We start from the raw sequence: 23,150 nt of genomic DNA on the forward strand, positions 1-23,150 counted from the left end.
CATTGCTTTGCCTCAGTGGCCCCAGAGCAATTAAAGTCAAAAGAGTATGAATCCCCTGAACTCTGAGCTGTTCCAGCATAGATGAGGAAGAAATGACCTCTAGCTGGGTTTCAGCCTCATTCCCCAACCCCCACCCTAAATCTTCATGCCTAAACCAAAATTCATTTGATGGAACTTTTTATAGACTGTGTTTTTGAATTCATGATTATCAGCATTTGGGGTTGAAATTAAAATAGGACATCACTAAAAGGGACTCGTCTAAAATCTAAATTAAGTTGTCAATTAAGGATGAAGAATGGCTTGTTATTATTGCCTTAAAATGATGTGTCCTCTTTGTCCTGTTGAGATCCCAAACATCTTCCATCTGAAATCTATTATAACTTCTGCAGAAGAGAATCTTAGGAAGTATACAGTTTCCTAAGTCTCAGAACTTAGGTCATGAAGGCTCAAAGAGGGGATGATCCATAAAGTCATGAAATGGGACAACTAAAAAACAAATGCCATTTTGTGCCTCTACCTGCCTCTAGATGCCAGCCAGTGGTAGAAAAGGAGTCAGATACTAATTATGAGGAGAGATTTTATTAGACAGATTTAAGGGGAACAGATGAGCCCAAATCCCCCTTTTTATTATCTACTGTACACTTAGCTAATGCTTTCTCCTGTGAGAAAGGCTTAAACAGTAAGCACAAACAGCACAATGAAATTGTAATGCCCTCTCCGTGTGGACCTGGATTATTTCAGCCACCAGCAATGTGAGTAGCTGCAGGTGTTGCACTAAATAAAGTAATATAAAGTGTCTACATTGCAACAGTGGAAGTACTGTTTCAAGACCCTTGTCTGCTTTTTATTAATAGTCAGATTCCTTCCTATCAGCAGCCACAACTACCTTTACCCTATTATTAAGCAACAATATTTTGATAGGCAAAGATCTATTAAAAATCACTGTTGATATTTTGTGACCATAGTCATTTTGGAGTTGAATAAGCGTTCAATCTTCTCACAGAAGGGGAGAACGTAAATTTGTGATTCAGGAAAAGAGGAAACCAGGGGTTACAAAGGTGGAGAGGCCAAGCAGAATGAAACAGACCCCCTCCATCAAGTAAAAAACTTGGCAGGATAACTAGAAACAGACCAACCCTAAATCTTAGGGTTCATGAGCTCTTAGAAACATAATTAACTGAAATAAAACTAATATTCCAGTGTTAAATTTCACCTTAACATACATCAGCAGTTACAATAACACCAGGTATAAAGAGAATCCGAAACTATTCATTTTGTTTATGGAATGTACCTTAAGCTAGGGGGAAACATTCCTTCACACATTAGTGTAATTTCTAAAATGGAGAAAAATTATCTACACAAAAAGAACTGTCAAGTTTACCTTACTCTATCAAGAAGCATTACTTTTGGGGAAAGTGTACTGATCACTTATTTGAAATTTCTTGTAATTATACAGAGCACCAGATTTCCAAAGCATTTGTTCTTGAGAAAGGAACCACTAATACCCAGGAAAGAAATGTTGAACAGGAAATGTTTGACCAATGTTGCATCACAAGATATCAAAAGAATTTCACTTTGGCTACTTCAGCGAATCAAGTCAGGACATTTTTAATTTTCTTTATAGTCTTTAAGCTTCTACAAAATAAGGTTTCCAAAAAATTGGTGATATTAAAATTTTTCTAGAAGTTTTGATACATGAAATAAAGTAAAAATCTTCTCCTAGAATGAAATGTAAAAAGTATTAGTGCTGAGAGTAGATAAACAACATTAGTGATCTGTGAATAGCATTCAGGAAATTCCATCTATCTGATGATCTGTCGGCTAACTGAGCAGTGTTTCATATGTCACCAGCTAACTAAAGCTCCCCATTGTGTTTATAGATTTCTTTTAAAGGCACTTTTAATGCCGTTTTACACATTAGGAGATAGTTAATTTAGAAGTAAATGGTAGACCACGAGAGGAGCCTTCTTCTTTTTCTTCTTTTTAAATTGATGTCCATTTGCATCTCAGCACAGCAACTCCACAAATTCCTGACTCTCAATCCTGAGAGTCCTGTCACAGGACTGCCTGCGGCAATCAGTCCTGGTTTCTTTTTGAACAAGCTTTCTTTTAACACTTAAATCCAGGGATGATTTAACAGAAAGTGTCTCAAGTCTATGAGCTACAGCCCCCTTAGACTCTACCCAAACAAAGCTACTAATGTGTGGTCAGTTTCTTGGCAACTCCACTCTCCGCTGATAACGCTCCTGCCTGCTATTCTCCAAGGAGCCGGCTGCTGGAAGACTGCTCCGAACCTCATCCCCTTGGTGCTCCTGATGCGGGCGATCCTCCGACTGCTCGGCGCCAACCACAACATGCTACCCACCGTGAGAGAGCAGGACGCGGGCTGCTCTAGTCAGGACTTATCGTCTATCATACTGATTGACGAAACCAAGAGTGAGCAGAAAAAATAAACACGAACAGAGGCTGCAGTGTATGGGCCAGTCAGCTGGGAGTTTTAGTATTTGGCCTTGGTGATCCTACTCTCATGGTAGGTTATCTTTTCCTTGTGCTATCATTTATCATAACTTTGAGGGCCAGGGAGAGAAACAAACCTACAATTTTTCTATTGGTTACATTCATTAGACTGCTTGCTTTTTTTTTTTTTTCTTTTCCTTAGCACTCCTTCCTTTGCCCCCTATAATAATCCCGTCCCCTCACATAGTATTCCCTTAAGAATGGTGAAATTAAATCTAAATATAGCTCTCCCCTTTTACTCCTATTCCAGCATAGATCATTGCAAGTAATTAACCTTTGTTATTCCATCAAATCTAGAATGCAAACCTACATGCTAATTTACTTAAGTCAGACTCAATAATAAATCTGCGTCTATAGCAGCTAAACTCAATGAAGATCCTGGATGTTGTTCAGTTATTTGGATTACTAACATCTTCTTTTTGAATAATGGCACTTGACTTTTTCAGGCACAAACCATGTTTTGTATTGGTCTTGACAGCCACTATAAAGTACTCCCCCAAGTGTCAGTAACAAAGATGATTTGTATGTGGCTTGCAGTCTTCCAGTGTTCTAATAGCTTTCTCATTCCAACCCAGAAACATGGAACACAGGGCAGCTGGTTAAAGCTGATACAAGCATTTCTTCTCTCAGCAGGCTATTCTTGCATAACCATTTATTTTGCAGAGTTTTAAAGTGCCTGAAGGATTTAATTATGTACATAGACAACCCCTATAAACTCTATTCTAGGGTTTTTATTGACTTTTGTGCTGGGCAGCTCTTAGGCATTTCAATTAAGTGTTTTTATAAGAAAAACGACAATATTGTTAAAAAAAATTCTTTATAGATACTTCCAAACAGGTTTTTTCCCCCGTCTGATTGAATAAACTATTTAATTGACCAAAAAAATCCAGGTTAATTCAAAGTTTGGTTTTTCCACTTTGGAAAAAATAGAGCGTTTGAGTCCCAGACAGGTTTGTGAAAATGAACCTGCCAATATCAGTGAAAGAATGGGCAGAGGGAGAACAGGATTACTTCGAAACATACTCTGAAACGTCACATGGCTACCTGTTACTCCGGAGTTTACTTAAACTCATGAGGGTAAAAACCTAAATGCAAAATTTTACATGTTCCACTAAACAAGTGCAGAATAATAAATTACCAAATTCATTTGGAGCACTCGCCTGACAGGCCTAACCCTCAAAAGTCTCCAGGAGACCCCAAAGCCCCCTTTGTCTGCCTTCTTCAATTGCAGGGCTCAAGTATTTACAAGGCTTCTGCAAACCTGCCTTCATTATGATGTGGGATATTTCAGTCCCAGCAGGTGGCCAACAGGAGACCAGACCTGCCCGTGAAATATGTAATACTTTTTCATATACTTTAACCAGAAATGTGCCCCTCCACAACTCTCCTAACTGTTCTAATTTCCCTTTCTCCTCTTAATCTCCTCAGAAAGCCATGAGCTTGCATTAAAATCTACCTAAAACATTTCACCCACAGGCAATGTAATTCTGAAACAAGCAACCAACATTTCACAGCTCTGGAGTAATAGATTAATTTGAACCTAATGTTGCCGTCGTTTACTGCTGCAAATGTTCTGGTGTAGACATAGCCCCGAGGCATGGTGCTGTGGCATGCACAAGTTTGGGAGCCGGAGCTACAGTTGGCTTAACATCTGTGCATCACATTTGCCATGTGCCTCATTATCCTGCACCCCACTGTGCCTACCTGTCCCCCTCAGCTTCTCAGCCACAGGCGATCTAATTTTTTTCCCCTCCAACTAAGAATCTTTGTTCTCCTTCTCACTTACTAAATTTTTGAGAGACCTCTGCACCCAAGCTGTGGGGATTCGGTCCATGTGAACAGCCCAGACCCTTTAGATTCTTAATTCTCCATTAGGAAGAGGAAAATTACAGCATTAAGTTTCTGACATGCCACCGCATAAATTGTGCCATTTGCAGAACCTACCAGAGTCTGTGACTAAACCCAGAGGCGTGTACTAAAGCATGGTGTTGTTGGTTTTGACTTTAACAAGTTTGGTCGGCTTCAATTATCTGTAAGCAAAGAAATAGTAACTTCCAACTCCAGATTTCAGAGAGATCAACAAGTAAAATCTAGTCACAGAAAGAGAAGATTGCCACACCAAAAATTAAAGCCAAGTGTCTTAAACTATTTAAGGAGTTAGCATTTCAAAGCTTATTGACACAAACAGTTGATACATACAACAACCTCACTCCATCACACACAAAAAAACAAAAACAAACAACAGCAAAAAAACGAAGGCTTTAAAAATAGATATAGTAACCAGGCCAAGCAGCTGCTTAAATTTTAATCCTGTTTTAACAATAAAAGAATCATATGACTCCTTTATTGGTTTTCCTTTGGAAGTGTTCTGGGTGCCCATTTATGGAGAGACAGAATGAAGATTTAGCCCTACCCAAACAATTTGAAATATGCAAAACATAAATAGTATTTGTTGTTATCATTATAAAGGGGAAATATAATATTATTAATAGAAGTATCAATAATGAAATATGCGAAAAACAACAGAACAGCCACGCTAGGGTTAAATGTTGAAAAGCCACCATCCTTGCCACAAGATAGAAGAAAAATTCAAACCAGAGACATTAGCTTTAAAAAAGCCAAAGCTTTGAATAAAGAAATTTAAAAACATTATCTTCATATTATATTTGACAAGCTGGATTTAGACATAGTCAACACATTAAAAAGGTGGCTTAGTGCTTTTCAATTGTTTACTAGTGTGCTAGCAAAGTACTTTACTGTGGGTGGTAGAAAATTAATTAGTTTTAAATAATCATTTTTATAGAACTAATAATTTTTTTAAAAAATTCATCAGATTCAAACAATTTCTACAACCTATCACTCAGACTTTTAGACCCTAGTGGAGAACAAAACTGAGAGGTCTTAGGAGAGAATGTTTCTAATGCCCTCTCCAAGTAAAAATATGCTCTGTTATAGAAATAGTATTGGATTTCCACACTTCCCTACATAATCCTCAAATTCTACGCAGTACAGAGCATTGAGTCTTGCACATTTCATTATATGCTTGAATTAATTTACCCTATATGGAATGTGTTACCTTTACAATAAAAAAGTCGCTATTCATTACTGAGAGTGGACAGATGGAACATGTTCAACTTAAGACATCAATAAGAAGAGAGGGAAAAACTTATAATCTATGTGGCACAGCCTCCTCCATCTGGTAGTTCCCAGCTTGTCTGCCAAGCCTTTTTTTTCCAAATAAAAGTGAGCATTTCTCTTTAGAGTTAATGGGACATTCTTAGATATTGACCCTGATTCTGATTTACAGATATTAAGCAACCATGCAATTAAAATATGATGTTTTCCAAAGGTAATCCATATCATAGGGGAATATTTGAGCCTAATTAGAAAACAAAAATTAGAACTACTATAATAATATTATGATAATACTAAAAGCATTATCAGATAAACAAAACAGTGTTTGATAGATTATGAAGGCAATTGAACAAGTTATTTTATTCTCTTAAAAAACACACTGTAAGCTGCATAAATACAACATTGGGTCAGTAAGGTGGCTGGCAATCTCTAGCAGGAAGACTATATTTGCACATCCTTCCCAAGCCCTTATCTAGCAGATGACACCTGCCTGATGTGTCACTAGGTACATCCCAAACCACAACTATCATGAGATCACTTTGCTAAGATGCAGTACACAAGACTATCAGGCTTTGAAATAAGTTAAATCTTATCATATCTTGATAAAAGTTAATTAGATTATCTCATCTATCAACTGAAACAGTACACATACACTTTTTTTTTTTTTTTTTTTGAGACGGAGTCTCACTATGTCACCCAGGCTGGAGTGCGGTGGCACGATCTCAGCTCACTGCAACCTCTGCCTCCCAGGTTCAAGCTATTCTCCTGCCTCCGAGTAGCTGGCACTACAGGCGCGTGCCACCATGCCCAGCTAATTTTTGTATTTTTAGTAGAGACAGGGTTTTACTCTGTTGTCCAGGCTGGTCTGGAACTCCTGACCTCATGATCCGCCCGCCTTGGCCTCCCAAAGTGCTGGATTACAGGTGTGAGCCACTGCGCCTGGCCCACATACAGTTTTTATGTATTTACCTCTCCTCTCATGTATTTGTTCCTTATGTCTGCTGTTCTTTGCTTTAAGCAATATCATTCTATGAAAGACAATGGATTGGGTCTTTATTTGTGTGCCAGCTCCAGGGCCTATGAATAATATTATGAAACATACACCCAATTCTCTGGCAATAGCCTATTATTTAAAGAGATTTTTTTAAGGTATAGACCATTTTTACATATTAGTAAAATATATAATATTATACCATCACAACATATTGGTAAATAACAATTACAACCGTATCTTTATTATTAAACCTTCTGTGTTGCAAAAAACCTCTGAAACTTTTTGTATAACCCTATCATGGAAAAACTACTCACTGTATATAATAATTACTATCATTCAGTATTATTTAAAAACATGAATAAACCTATGAAAAATATAGAATAAAAAGAGATCCTTGTAAAGGAAAAACAAAAAAGCTAACCATCCACCTAATACTTTTTTTTTTCTTTTTTTTTGAGATGGAGTTTCACTCTTGTTGCCCAGGCTGGAGTGTAATGGCACGATATCAGCTCACCACAACCTCCACCTCCCGCGTTCAAGTGATTCTCCTGCTTCAGCCTCCTGAGCAGCTGGGATTACTGGCATGCGCCACCACCCTGGCTAATTTTGTATTTTTAGTAGAGACAGGGTTTCTCCATGTGGGTCAGGCTGGTCTTGAACTCCCGACCTCAGGTGATCTACCCGCCTCGGCCTCCCAAAGTGCTGGGATTACAGGCGTGAGCCACTGTACCAGGCCTCTAATACTTTTATTCAAGGATTAATAAAGCCTTTTAATGCAATGATGTAATTGCATTTCAAGTTTCTTGAAACAATTTCTAAAATTTATAGCAATTTAGACAATAACTATTTATTAAACACTCACTACATGCTTATCCCACAATCCCTAAAATGTGATGGATATGCTGTCATACTTTTGGCACTGAGAAATTTTCTAAAAAATACAATTTTATTGACATATATTTAAACAGAATCTTTGGACATTAAGACTGTCTGCACAAAAATTTCTCTAAATTACTTTGTTAAAAATGTGATAGAATTCAGTTAAACCTGAAATTTGGGTCAATATGATACCAACTAGCTGACTTTTGCCCAGTGAACCTACATAGCTGCTCCATTTCTTCATCTCTAAAATGAGAATTATCATAATACTTATGTCATAGATAGGTTGTGAAGATTAAATAAAATCATGTGTTTAAGTATTTAGGATAGCACCTGGCACAGGGTAAAAACAATATGTTAACTATTTTTATTATGTATGTATTTAGAAGTTTCAAGTAATTCTAAACTTGACAATATTATTAGAATTGCATTACAATTACTTGGGAAAATCACTCCAAACCAATTAATCTGAATCTATGAGGATAATTATAATGTGTAGCTAGAATTGAAAACCTGTGATGAAGATATAGAAATTCAGCAGATTGGTGGCCCCTAAATGATTTGTTTTCGCTACTTCCTTGTGTCCTCCTAAAGCAAAGCTCAACTCAGTGATTTGCAGATAGTAGATGCTTAATCATCAAATAAAATGGAAAACTGCTAAATCTACCTCTTAGTTTGTATTGCACAAATTCTTAGTCTAAGTCTCTATACATGGTATAACATGTTCAGGGATGCATTTCTAGGCACTGTTCTAGGAATACCCTTTTGTTGTCTGTCAATTTGACATCTCTCTATTCATCTCTTCTTTGAGTACTATTCTTTGGGTACTGTTATGGTACCCAAGATTATGTCCTCATATATTAAAGCCCTAACACCCAATGCCTGAGAATATGACCATATTTGGAGATAGGACCTACAAGTATTAGTTAAAATGAGCTGTTATCGTGGGCCATAATCTAATCTGATTAGCGTACTTCTAAGAAGAGAAATGTTGGAAACACAAAGAGACACCAGAGGCATGCATGCTCAGAGGAAAGATCATGTAAGTAGGGCATAGTAAGTAGGTAGAGATCTGCAAGCCAAGGAGAGAGGCCTCAGAAGAAACCAAGCCTGCCAATGCCTTGATCTTAGACTTCTGGGCCCCGGAATTGTAAGGAAATGTATTTCTGTTGCTTAAGTCACTCAGTCTGTGGTACTCTGTTGGGACAGCCCTAGTAAACTATTACAAGTACGTTCATCTCTCCATCCCATTTATAGGCAGGGTTCCAGGCTCTCAATCTCACCCAAATGCCCTACCTTCCAGCATACTCTACAGTATATTGTATTTATTTACATGTCTGATGGCCCACAAAACCGATTTCTTAGGCTAGGAATTATCTAATTTATCTTTGTCTAACCTAGCACCTATCATGTGCTTTGCGTGATTGTTGAACGAGTGGGCGAATGAATGAATGAACCAATAAACACCTAAATGGCTACCAAGTCAAATGAAGGAATAAATGGAAGGGAAGCTACCATAACTGAACCATTTCTGATTGCATCCAAATCATCCCTAGACTTGACATCTAGTGCCACAACCTAGTGCTGCTGATAAATATTCAAAGAAAAAGACAGAACAACACACAATTCTATGATTTCTGGACTGCTATCAACTAAACCTACAAATAGTGTTTGCCTAAGATCTGCAAATCTTCCTTGGCTCCCGGTCCAAGGCAGAGGTATTGTTACTCTAATTCAGGCCAGTTGCATCCTTTCCACTTTGAAGACTGCAAAAGTCTTGCTGAGAGTCGAGAAGTTAGCCTGATAGGGTAGCCAGCTTTTTAAAACATTGATCCTTAAAAAATCTGTTTTTAAATAAAATTTCGTGGTAATCAAATGTGATACAGTCTAGATTGCCTTGATATGGAATTATGGAATTGTTGATGAGCAATAACATTTTGGGCACAATGGCTTAGAACACAGTTTAAAGCCAAATAGAGTTCTAGCATGCCACCCCAGTATTATGGGCATTTTATAGTTACATCACTCATTCATGGTACAAAAATCCAAAAGGTGGCCCTCAGGGGTTACTGGTAATGAAACAACAGAGAATTAAGATGAACCAACCAATTTAAATTTCACACTCTCCTCTGCTATAATTGAAAGGAACCGAGGTTGCAGAAGCTGTTTCAGAATCTTTTTTAAATACAAGGAAACGTTGTGAGCAGACATCTCATTTTTATTGGTACTTACATTCTGCATATGATTAAGCACAAACTTGCAAAGAATTAACCACTCCACCAACCCAATGGATCCGTTCTCAAACTTGCAGGAGGCGGGAGTGTTTGAAAGGGAAATGGGGGCTGGCGACCTGAAGCCCACTCCCTTGGGTCAGTGCATGCTGGGAGGGGAAATGAGCTACAGAGCAGACAATTTTCAGCATCAGTGGTTTTACTTTCTTTACCAGGCCTCACGAAAACACACTGACAAAACAAAGGACACAAAATTAATGACCCATGCATTCTGTCAATTGACTCTTAGTAGCAGTGGCCAGTTCACCTTAATTTTTTTGTTCGCATTGAACATGTAGCCCAAGGCACTGGTTAAGGTTCACTTAAGAATTCTTCAAAGGCATCACTTGGTTTTCATTAATTTGTTAACTGTAACTTCTCCTTTCTGCTGAGGAACCCGCATACCAAGTGAAGACCTTTATGCAAAATGTAGAAACAAAAGGCATATGTTTGACCAACCAGCTTTTCTCTTGTTTCTCGAGCAATCATGTCTCACTCGTTAATATTAGAGAAAATTATACCCATCAGATTTTTCTAGCATGTAAAATATATTTAAACCTTCTCAGAAATTCAAATGTCAACTCTCCGTTATTGTAGGGGAATAAGTAACACTGTAGTTTATTATGTCTGTGAGTAATTATTTCCTAATTATTCCTGTGGTTGTTAACCATGATTTTTGATGAAATTCAATTTGAGTATGCATGAACTATGGCCAACTAACTGAAATTTAAGGATTAACAAAAAAGCAGTATGAATTCAAAAAAAGGTATAAATGGAAATTTGTATTTACATATCTGTACAAAGATTACACCACCCTTAAGATGATGGTAACTTTTTGCATTTAAGTTTTCTTTCACTTTCTGGCCAGCATTTTGAGAATAGAGTAAATGTTTCCACTTGTTCAAAACTCACAAAGAAGATTCATCTCTACGATAATTTTGGTAAATTTGCTAAAATGTTGAACAGGTTTTCAAGAATGCATAACTAATAAACACTGAAGCACCGATGGCAGTGTCTGAATTTTCTTCATCAAGTGTAAAACAAGAATACAGGATGAGGCAACAGTTGCTTTCAAGCCTCAGGAGAAGTTAGCAATTTTAACATTTCTATTCTTAAGAAAAGAGTATCAAGAAAGTTCTAAGAGTGAAGGAGTCTACTCTGGGGACATTTGGTAGTTTTTAGCAAAGGAAATGGATCCCATGAAGCAAATGTATCATTCCTTTCTATAAACTTCTCAAACAGTTATAAAATATGATAGCAATGCTTGGTTGGTACAAGTTTGAGTTAGTTGGATCTGTCAGCATTTCCATTACAAATCCTTGATTTTCAAGGTTTTATAGTTCAGCTGTGAAAAGTTTCTTTAGAAAGAAAGTTGGCAAGGTGGTCTTTGCTAGGGGGTTTATCAAATTGAACAAATCTTTGTTTAGTTATCTCTCAGTTCTGTGAGCCGAAGTCTACTCCCAGCTAGACATGCCAAACTTCCAGCGACTTGAATGCCAGAGACAGGCTTTTTCTCTCTTTAAATTCACACCACAAGAGCTTCTCTTATTCTTGATTCAGAAGCCGCCAGGACCCAGCTCATATCCTGTGTAACCCAGTGGGAGAGGAGCCACATCATATGTAACCCTGTAGGACATATGAATTCAGTCTTGGCCAAGTGTCTCCAGCATGAAATGTGGACCGCACTACAGAGAGACTTGGAACTTTGGAATATGTGTATAATTAAAATGTAGGCACATCACACTACTGCTTGCAAAGTGAAGTGGTGTTCATTTATTAAAAGCCCCGTCGACTGTGGAAGTGTGAATGTGTTTCAGGGCAGTTCTGACTACTCAGAATAGGAATCTATTGCTGCATTGCTTTTAAAGAAATAGGTGGAAAAAAGATAATCCAAACCATATATTACAATGTAATATACAGATAATACAAACATGTATTCTATACCCATTGTATAGTTTTTAGATGTACATTTATTTTATTGAGGTTATGGTGTTGGAAATTTATATAAACTGTTTTTGATCAGAGGTGGATAGAAGGTCATTTCAATCGAATCAAATGTAAAATTACACTATCATAAATGTACAAAAAATTTAGGAGAGATGGCTCTGGGCAAGATGATATAAGAGTTCATTTTAAAACTCTGTCTATTAAAATGTTTTGTAAAATATCAATACATGCAGCAACTTTAATGTAAAGTTATTTATTTATATATACTAGCCTAGATATCTTTGACAAATAGGAGTATAAATCAAACAAAAATTCTTCACAAAATGAGCTTTAAATTTGAGATGGGGGAGAAGATATGCATTTAGATAAGCATAATAAAAGATAAAAATCCTCAGCATCCAAAAAGAAGAACAGAAAGTGTGTTCTGGTAGGTTAGAAAACGGAGATTTATGGGATATGACCAAGTACATATTCATATTAATAAAGTTCTATGATAATATAGTAAAATAGTTAACTATAGTAGCATTCAAATATTTTATTTTATATATAACAAATATTTATAAAAATAATTTATACTTATATAAATATTGTATCTATATATTTAAATGTGACATCTATTGAATTAAAAATGCAATCAAGTCTTAGGCTAATTGTTTCATTAGTAAAAGTCTACACTTTTACTGGGAAATCTGACACACCAAACCTGTTAGAATATGGAACTACAAGTTTATGCGGTCAGGCTAGCCAGCCCACAGAGGCACTAAAGGACACCACATGTCGAATTCAGGTGTCATCAGTGGTTTTAGAAAGGCAAAGCCCCATCAAAAGGCTTTTGTAGACAACAGGCTAGCAGATGGCTAAAGCCAGATATGGTTTGGGTTTGTTCAATATCTTACTCTATTCTCAAACTTTGGATTTGGCAAAACCAAAACCATATTTTGCCAAGTCCTTTCTTCCTTAATTCTTAAGCCCATGTGCATTTCAGTAAAATTTAACCCATATGTTTCTTATTCTTTAATACTTAACTCATCAAATATTTTTCTATAAGATCCATTTGACATTCAAAAGCCTTGTGAGTCTTAAAGCTCTGGATTTTTAGCTATTTTTTAAAATTAGGAGTTCTTAGCTTCCTCTGGAAAACAGGAAGTTGAATTCTGCCAAGCATAAATAAATGTGAACATGAATACAATAGGTTAATCCAACACCAAAAGATTGAATTTGGTTGGAAATAGCAACAATGCTCACTATATTTTTACAATATGCCTTTCTGAATCTGTCTGCACCTAGACAGTGACTGACATAATTTAAATCTAATGTAATGAACTTCACTAATGCTGACCAACAAAGGGATCAAGAAATATCTCTAGCGTGTAACTAAAGGAATTCTCAGCAAACCCATTTGTAAAACAAGCCACTGCTGTTTAGTTCTTTTTTTTTTTTTCTTGAGCTATTCGACTTCTTTTCCTAAAAGTTGTTTTGAATACACAGCAATAGAAAACATATTAATTACCATGACCTTAGAGTTATATATTTATCAGTAAGGAGCACATGTATTTATGTATTATATATTTATTCTGAAAATAAGATGCAAGCTTCAGAATGAAAAGTATAAGATACATGCTTCTGAATAAGACACATGTATCAGAATAAATACATACTTATGAGATACATCTATATATACTTCATATGATTTTTTGAATGTATATATTTGCAGAACACTTTTTTCCCCAGAAAGAAAAGGAAAACAATGATAATTTTTATAATGGCTTAACACAATTTCATGCCATCATATAAAGTCAACATAAATGCATTTAGAAAAGGAACCCTAACAAAAGAGTAATGAAATGATCTACCCTAATCATATTTATACTTCTTTGTACCCCAACTACATTTAACACATCTAGGCTTGAAGTGGGTGCTCATTTCATTCTTATTAGATTAAATTGAATTGAATCCAATAGCATAATTGATGACTCATATCATGATGATCCAAAGAATAATGACACTGTTATTCCTATGAAATATTTAAGAATTTCTTGTCAAAACCACTTGTATTAGTTATTTCTCCTAACAATCATGTGATGCCCTTTTAAAAAATGACTTGAAATTCTCTCTTCTGAGTTCCCATGGGCACCAGGGTACATTCTGTTATAAGACTTAGCATATTGTTTGGACGGGATGTGAAAATCTTGGCATTAACATCTATAATCAACCAGAAGATGTCATTGGGAAGCAAAATAAAGGTTGAAATCTATGTCGTAGGGAGTCAGTCTAGCACATCCAAGTAGCACATCCACATTCCTTTCATGAGTGAAATCCCATGAATGGATATCAACAGAGTTGGTCCCTAAACCTGAGAACTGACTTTCAGCTTTTGCTCTAGCCCTGTTCTCTGAGATTCTCAAGCCAAGAAATGGTCCAAGAATCTCTTCTACCTAAGGCAGCAGACACTCATTCATTCATTCAACAAATGCTAGTGAGCACCTACTTTGTTACAGGCACTCTTTATGACAAAAGTTCATGTCATCTTGAAGCTTACATTCTAGTGATTTTTACTATCTTAACAAACCATTTTCTCAGGGGGAAAAACCACAGTTTCTGTACATTTTATGTTTCTTGTAACAGGAATGCACGTTGAATTATAATTTCCTAAACTTTCATGTTAAATATTTGACATTGTTTTCAACAAGTTCTGTTCATGACAAATGAGATAATATTACTCTCAGATAACCCCTAAAATAAGGTATAAAAAGGAAAAAGATATTTCTTTCAATTTTCATGAAGAAATGAGAAAAAATCTGGAAAACATTCCAAAAATCTTAGAATTTTAGGGCAATAATCAAAGTTAGAAGTGGACAGAGAACTAATCAATGGTACAAACAGAAGGGCAGGATGATAGATATAGAAGTGGTGTTGGAGTTTATCTGGTTCTAGCAACAGCAAAAACAGGATCCATGAAGGCTCTTCTTCTGCTTAATGCATAGCTTGAACTGCTGCTAGCCGACCATGGAGCATGGCCACCACTTCCAAAATATTCTAAAGGATCAGAGATCTACCAAAGGAAAGGATGCACAAACACTGAAACCTGTTTGACATTCCCAATAATCCAATTCCTTCAGGTTTAGATAATTTGCCCAAAGTTACTCAGTTACTATCTCTTCACATTGCTTGCATAGACTTTTGTAATTGACAGAAGTATACTGCTTATAGGAGGAAGAGAAAAGAGAGTTGATATCCACCAAGTATCCATGACACCGAGCCGGTACAGTACCATATTTCACTAATATACCAATTTTGTGAGCTGAGTAGTATCCATTTTATAAATCAGGAGCCTATGCAGTCCTTCCTAGTCATATGCCATCTCTAAACTGGTTAAAAAACAATACAAAACAAAACCTGGAGACTTCATTTTTTTCTCTGTGCTTGTGTTAGCCTTCCTAGGCACTAGACACAGGGACCCTCTCATAGCGAGGAACATAGGTAAACGTAGATTATTGGATAAAAGAAAACGTGTGGCTCAGGGGTAGTCTCGGTGATCAGCCTGTTTATATTTCTGTTTCCTTCCAAAGTAAATAAGTTAAAGGCATGAAATACTTTGACATCATTATAAGTAAGATGCTATTTTAGAAGTTTCAAATAACCTGGTCTTCATTCATTATGACAGCACAGACTTTATTGGTCAAGTTCCTTACAATCATCAAGTGTTTGCATCAAAATCTTGCACTGTTATGACAACCATCTTCACATACTACTGACTTCTGTATTGTGGCTTAAACATAAATTCTCACTTTCTGAAGACATCCAGCTGGAAAGGCCACTTCAACTGCCAAGACGATGTTCCACAATTTCCACATCTGCTTTAGCAACTCTGTCACAGGCTCATTACTAATTTTTTAATCCATTTTTAAAGATCATTTTGTTAAGTATACACCCAAGATAGATTTTTATTTATGAATGGCTTCAAGTTATAGATGAAACATGCCTGTACTTTACTCTTTTCCTGCCTTTCTCAATGATTTGACATTATGACTAAATTTAAGTGTTCTCAAAAAAAATTTGAAAGATAATTAACCTATTTTAAATATTCATTCTCTGGTTTTTCTAGAATTCTGTCAGAAAAGTCTTCAAAAATACTTAGCTTCCTCTAGTTTCAAATCAAACCAATATAAATAATGGGTAGAATTACTAACCTGCAGGGAATGTCATCCTAAATTTCCTGGCGCTGGCTATGTAACTGTATGCATGACTGGTGTATTTACTGGAGGCAGTATATACTGTATAATGTTCCCCAAAAACTCATGTAACTAATGCAATATGATAACCACTAGGGTGCTACTGTGACGTAAAGGATATATTACCATTTTTTCCAATTCAAACAAGAAAAAAAAAAAAACAGTCTGCCTTAATGGCCCTGCCCTCTAAATAAATACATTGCCTGCTCTACTGAACTTAAAATTCAAGGTTATATATGTCATCCTGAAGTAAAAATAATTCTGTGGGATACACTTTCCAGCACCAAGATATTATTTGATTCTTTGATCAATTATTTCTAACAGTCATTTCAAAGGTCTAAATGGCCATGACTTTTACTAGGAGAACGTAAAATAAAAATGAGCCTTCAATAACACAGATTTCAAGTGGGCAAAAGATGGAGTTAGTCCAAGAGGTAACACATCTCCTTCGGGAGATGCTGGATGTTGGTTACTATCAACGTGTTTTAAGCTGGATCCAGTAGATACACTCAGTCATCAGTAGAAAAAGGTTCAGTGAAGAGAGGTCCTGAGCCATAGGACAGGAAAGATGCCTGGGCACATCTAGCTCCCTGCTCCTACCTTCTCATATGCCCATTTCCATGATTTTTCAGATGTGGAAACTGAGGCCAACAGCTGTAATTTCCCAGGGTCCCAGTCATTGTAGAGTAGGCATAGAGCCATCTCCTAACTTCCGAGAGGGCAAGATGCTGATTCTTCTGAAATAAGTTTTAGAATAGGAAAGCTAGAGCTGAGCAAACAGAAACAGCTTCATGGCAGGCTGCCAGGAAGACAGACAGCACAAAGATGATGGATGTAAGAAAAACAACTTGTAAGTGGTCCAAAAATGAGAATCCTGTTGGTTTTTCGAAAATACTGTAGTTTTTTAAAAATTCAATTAAAATAATATCCATGTTTAAAAGAAAAAAGAATGAGCAAAACAAGGTAAATATAAATAGATTGGTGTACATGTACCTAAGCTTTCAGCGGAGGCTACAAATATACATTATAAGCACCAAAGAGTGTCAAGAGCATTTTAAGAAATTGGTCATCCCTTTCCACTTTGTGAGTAATACTTGGGAATGGGATAAAAAATAATAATAATAGCCTCTAGGGAATGTTCAAAGATGAGGTAATTTGCATGTGTCTTCCAGAAAACATTAAGCATATCCTTCTCCTCTGCCAGGATAATTTTGAATTTCTGGCATTAAAACTTAAATTCTCTACCAAAATTGACCAATCTCCTGTTACCACTCTATATTTATGTTGGTGTAACAGTTTATTCTATGCAGTATTAGACTGAGGCTAGTCACCTATTTAATCTTCACATTTTTATTCAAGGTCTTATTGAAGAAAATCCCCAAATTCTGTGAAATTTTTGCACAGTTTTTAGGTTCTAATTCTTCCTACTTTGGGGCTATGGCAACTCAGCCAAGGAGGGCAAAAGTGATTGCTTCTCTAGAGAAAACTTGGATATATAAGTTTATCACCTTTTTCTTTCCCTTTTTTCCATCGGGCACATAATAATTTGGCCTTTCCTCAACCATCAAGTAAAACCCGTGAGCTGTGGAGGAGCTGCCGTAATGGTGTGGATAAATGCTTCCACTTCGTTTAGAGATGTAACCTATATATTAACTATTGATAGAAGCCTATGTTGATATCTCATTTCAAGATAGCAGTGTAACCCCCAAATACAAGCAAAGAACATGCAGTGTAAGAAAAAGTAGCCGGGCATGGCGGCGCATGCCCGCAATATCAGCACTTTGGGAGGCCAAGGCAGGCGGATAACTTTAGGTCAAGGGTTTGAGACCAGCCTGACCAACATGGCGAAACCCCATCTCTACTAAAAATACAAAAATTGGCTGGGCTGGTGGTGCGCTCCTGTAATCCCAGCTACTCAGGAGTTCGAGGCAGAAGAATCACTTGAACCCGGGAGACAGAGGTTGCACTGAGCCAAGATCGCGCCACTGCTCTCCAGCCTGGGTGACAGAGAAAGACTCCATCACAAAAAAAGGAAAAGAAAGAAAAAGAAAAAGTAGATTCCAGAAAATGTATGACAAATACATTGGGAAAGAACTATAGAACTATAGAAAGATCTGGAAAACCAGAGATTAGAACTAGAAGTGATTTTGGAATTTATTTACTTGCAATAACCTTCATTTTACAGTTTGGAAACTGAAGCCCAGGAGGTGAAGCAAGTTACCCAAGTCATAGGTTATTTTCTTTTATTCATTTTTTTAAAAAGATGAATCCATTAGTATTTCTATTACTGTTCTTCTAAATTCTGAGTCAATTGCCATGTTAAACTGTGGAGTAACCACTCCTGCTCTAAGCCCTTCATCAAACTCTTCTTGGCTCCTTTCTCTGACCTCTGTGCTTCTGAGGTGTCATTGTTGTTAGTTAGCAGCTGACTTCTACCTTTTAGATAATGCTTACTTCAGGAATTATGTCTCGCTGTCTGAAAACTGAAGATACACTCATCCCAAATTTCTGTGAATGGAGAGTGATCAGTAGGCTGTATTTTTCAAAGTCACTAAATAAAAGTGTTGTTACAAACATTTTAAGTACCTCCACTGCCCTAACACCCATCAAGTCACTTGGAGGTATTTAAGGTTAATAATATCGACTATTATCTGTGTTCAGTTAAAAGTGCCTTCACATTGTATTCACATGTTTAATCTCATGTAACTCTTAAAATAACCAAATAAAGTGGTCATTTCTAGCATTTCTGTTTTACAGATGAGACTCAGGTCACATGCTGAACACTGACAATACAACATCTATGGTTTTGCATCCCAAATCTCAGGCTCTCGACTCTATCATGAATATGTAGTCCTTTAAGCTTAAATAGTGAGTTTCTAGAGCTGATGCCATTTTTAATGAAGGACTGCCCTAATGAGTTGTATTATATTTAACAGACAACACTATGTGGCCAAGGTGGCCAAGACAGAAGCCAGGACAAAAAGAAAAAGGGCCCAATTTTTTTTTTTAAGTGTGGATTGTTTTCTCTTGGAAAAACAATTTGGGTTGTCCTAACAGCTGCCACTTTACAACTGTTCATAGTTAAATCACTTCCTCCTACATGTCTGAAGATACCGACACCGGCTCAAATCTTACGTTATACAGTATGACTGGCTTGAAGATCAGGCCTAAGGGCATCATTTAGTGCTATGCTTACGCTTCTGGATTCTATTAGGATCATACTTTATTTCTTCTGGCCAAATATTTTCTGGGCCAGGCACAGTGGCTCACACCTGTAATTCCAGCACTTTGGGAGCCCAAGCACTTTGCTTCAGCCCAGGTGTTTGAGACCAGCCTGGGCAACATAGCAAGACCCCATCTCTAAAAAAATAATTAAAAAAAAATTTTGCCTGACACAGTGGCACACACCTGTAGTTCCAGCCACTCGGGAGGCTGAGGCAGGTGGATCACAGGACCCCAGAAGGTCAAGCTGCAGTGAGCCATAATTAGGCCACTACAGTCCAGCCTGGGCAACAGAGTAATACCCTGTCTCAAAAAAACATATTTTCTGCTTTCTCATTGGAGGGCTTACTTGAGTCCAGAGCATATTGACTAAAAGCATTCAACGAAGAATGTGTTTGCTGAAAGCAGGGTGATATGTTGATGTTGAGTAAGTCTATAGCCCCTGGAGTCTGACAGTGTGGGCTTGAATCCCAACTTCACAAATCACTTGTTGTGTGATCTTGGTCAAATTTGTTAATCTCTTTCTGACCCAGTTTCCTCCCCTGCAAAATGGGTTCTTATGAAGGATTAATGAGTTAATGCATATAAAGTGCTTAGAGTAGTGACTGACACAGAGCAACGATTTAAATGTTAACTATTATGACTGAAAGTAGGTACAAAATGGGGGAAATGTTCATTAATCTCTAATTTTAATTTCTTATTAGTGGGTATTAATAGGTTCGTGTCCCTTTATTTTTAGATAATATTGGACTCCCTGACATTTGGTCCACTAAAAGCTTTAGTTATATTGGTGCCAAAATTGGCTAGACTTACTCATCATATTTTAAAATTTACCTTTTTAAAAAAATATACCCAGTAACCAGAGTTCTAAAGAACTTACATTAAAACTAACAAATAAAACTCATCTGTTGTAATATGTTCATTTTCATTAAAAAGACATCAGTCTGCTTTGTGCTTGCATTAGAAATAGAACTTAATCTCTGACAGGCGTTTCTCATTTTCCAGTTATTCTCTAAGGAGCATATGTTGGCAAGCATGCAATGATTTTTTTTTTTTTTTTGGCTCTGCACTGTGGTTGCAAATGGTGTCATTGTTCTTGGTTAAATCTGCGAAAAGTAAGCCTACCCCTCTCATTTTTTGGCTTCACGCTAAAGTAGCCTTTATGGCAAAGAACTGCATGAGTTTATCAGTCTCCGTTCACTGCCCATATTCCAACATGATCAAAGGCTGCTAAAATAGCCATACATTGAGCTTTGTTTTCTCCCTTCTCAGTTTCTGCACTTGTCGAGAATGATAATATATGTTGGAATAAAATCTAGATTTTTCTACTTTTGGGTCAATATAGGAGCTTCTGAGAGAAATAAAACAGGATAAATATTTATCCCTAAAGTTCTTTGCAGGCAGGAGAAACAGATTTAGTTGTCACTTGTCAATGAATATCATCACTGAATATTTAAAAGTTATACTTCAGACAAGTATTTAATCATTAATGAAATCATGGCATTTATCGTATGTCAAAATTCAGTGCATAGATTGGAGATTAGTTCTAGTGATTCCAGAAATACAAGAAAGGAACAATGAAAACCATTCCATGATAATAGAGCACTTTTTTTTCTAAGTAGTTGGTTTATTCATCCCCTTCATGATCGTGGTTGCATAATAAAGTTGCCTCTCAAGTTGTTTCTTTACACATAGTGTAAAAGTTAATAGCCTCTGTTTGAGATGTTATATCCTAAAGATAAAATAAATGTAATTTTACATTACTGTAAGGGACAAACTGATATTCTAAAAGATAAAAATATTTTTTTCTTTATTAATACATCTAAATTATTTTTCTTTAGTTTTTATTTGGGAATAGATTTTAAAATACATGGAGCACTATATTTATTGACTAATTGTGCCTCATACCAAATGATTCATGTGAGATGTTTATAGTTCTGTATAAATTAGCCACAATTATCTTTTTCTTAAGTGCATGCAGATTAAGAAACAAAAGAAGGGACAGGCACAGTGGCTCATGCCTGTAATCCCAGCACTTTGGGAGGCCAAGGTGGACAGATCACCTGAGGTCAGGAGTTCAAGACCAGCCTGGCCAACATGGTGAAACCCCGTCTCTACTAAAAATACAAAAAAATTAGCTGGGCATGGTGGCGGGCACCTGTAATCCCAGCTACTCGGGAGGCTGAAGAAGGAGAATCACTTGAACCCAGGAGGCAGAGGTTGCAGTGAGCCGATATCGTGCCATTGCACTCCAGCCTGAGCAACAAGAGCGAAACTCCATCTCAAGAAGAAGAAGAAGGAGAAGGAGAAGGAGAAGGAGAAGGAGAAAAGAAGAAGAAGAAGAGGAAGAAGAAGACGACAAAAGAAGAAGAATATGTCAGTGATACAGTGCCCGTGGTCCTAACCACTTGCTGGGCAGTGCCCACCTGTGTGTTTTTATGCTTACAAATGCAGAAGTACAGACAGGCACATTCATTTTCTAAATACTGACTCAACATGCTATCTGTAGCTACAAAGAGGCCATTTTAACAGAAGCAATTGCCCCTAGTCTTTGCAGGAAAAAGAAAGTGGGACTGAGTCCTTTACAAGTTCTGTAATTTGCTCAAATGTTTATGGAACGTCTACCCTGTGCCACGCCCCAATCTAGGAGCTTGGAATAAACTAATGGACACGAGCCAAGAAAAATTAGCTGCTCTCAATGAGCTTACATTCTGACTTCTAATAGTAACATCCTGATTTTTAAAATAAAGCTTTGCCACTTTTGGACAAAGACTGTTGCTAACCAATAGCATTTTAATAATAACAATATACCTTAATTTCAAAGAACACTGGCACATATTTTGGTATTTGATTCTCACAACAGGAGAATAAGGCTTTGCGCCTAAAATGCCCTTCCTGACCAAACTCTTACTCAAATGTAAAAGCTCAGCTAAAATGTCTCCTCTGGGAAGCCCTCCCTAATTCCTCATGCAATCAGTTTTATGTTACACAAGATGCTTCTCAGATATCAAGAAAAAGTTGTCTCAAATTTTCCCATACTGTATCAATTCCTACATTTACTCATCTCATTCCCCAGCTCTGCTTGCCCTGATAGAGAGTCGTGGGACGGAATTTGACCAATGAAATGTAGGTGAAGGCCACGGGTCACGTTAGGCTGGGCTCTTTAGAGTCTGTGATTCTTCTCCATTATTCTCTTCTCCTCCCAGGGTGAACTTAGAAGCCTTTTATTGCAGTGGAGTGTCACAAGAAAACCTGGGTCCTCAAACTCATTTCTGGAGAAAGCCCCCCACCACCTAGCATTAGACATCGATTAAGACATAAACTATTGTGTGAAGCCATGAGATTTATCTGTTGAGGCAGCTAGCATTAATTACTGTGATTAATACAATGACAGGAAAAAATGAATTTATTTTGTTTTGCCACAGAGGCACATCTTTTATACAGGAGGCAAGGAGTTACATTAAAGATGCCCCAGGCTGCTTGCTACCCCTGCAAGGGCTGGGGATGGAACTGAGAAACAATCACTACTTCAGCTCAGCTGCCTCTTTCCCTAACACTTACTCATGTCTTTTCTTTGATCCAAAACAAGAAAACCCATTAATTACCTTAAACAATGAGCTGAACTTAAACTAGCTATTTGTTGCCTTTTTTTCAAGATGCTATATATATATATATATATATATATATATATATATATATATATATATATATGTTTTTTTTTTTTTTTTTGAGACAGAGTCTCGCTCTGTCACCCAGTCTGGAGTGCAGTGGCGCAATCTCCACTCATTGCAAGCTCCACCTCCCGGGTTCACGCCATTCTCGTGCCTCAGCCTCCCGAGTAGCTGGGACTACAGGCGCCCGCCACCATGCTCGGTTAATCTTTTGTATTTTTAGTAGACACGGGGTTTCACCGTGTTAGCCAAGATGGTCTCGATCTCCTGACCTCATGATCTG

The 23,150-nt window shown here is 37.0% G+C and overlaps 1 protein-coding gene and 1 long non-coding RNA gene across 16 annotated transcripts in view, besides 1 other annotated feature; one reads left to right on the forward strand and one right to left on the reverse strand.

Moving 5' to 3' along the window:
* The window catches only part of MECOM (MDS1 and EVI1 complex locus), a 580,206-nt gene that overhangs the window by 156,715 nt on the left and 400,341 nt on the right, over positions 1–23,150 (reverse strand). The window lies entirely within an intron of this gene.
* Positions 324–4,935: an enhancer, noted in NCBI's record as "VISTA enhancer hs1433". NCBI's record gives its function as "enhancer in: limb[9/12] | trigeminal V (ganglion, cranial)[8/12]" and the evidence as "EXISTENCE:transgenic organism evidence [ECO:0001131][PMID:17130149]".
* On the forward strand, positions 1,840–7,425 carry LOC124909454 (uncharacterized). The gene is made up of 2 exons (XR_007096154.1): positions 1,840–2,530; positions 7,105–7,425. It is a non-coding gene; the product is annotated as an uncharacterized LOC124909454 (long non-coding RNA).

Source organism: Homo sapiens, chromosome 3 (genome assembly GCF_000001405.40).
Source record: "Homo sapiens chromosome 3, GRCh38.p14 Primary Assembly".
In the NCBI taxonomy this organism is placed as follows: domain Eukaryota; kingdom Metazoa; phylum Chordata; class Mammalia; order Primates; family Hominidae; genus Homo; species Homo sapiens.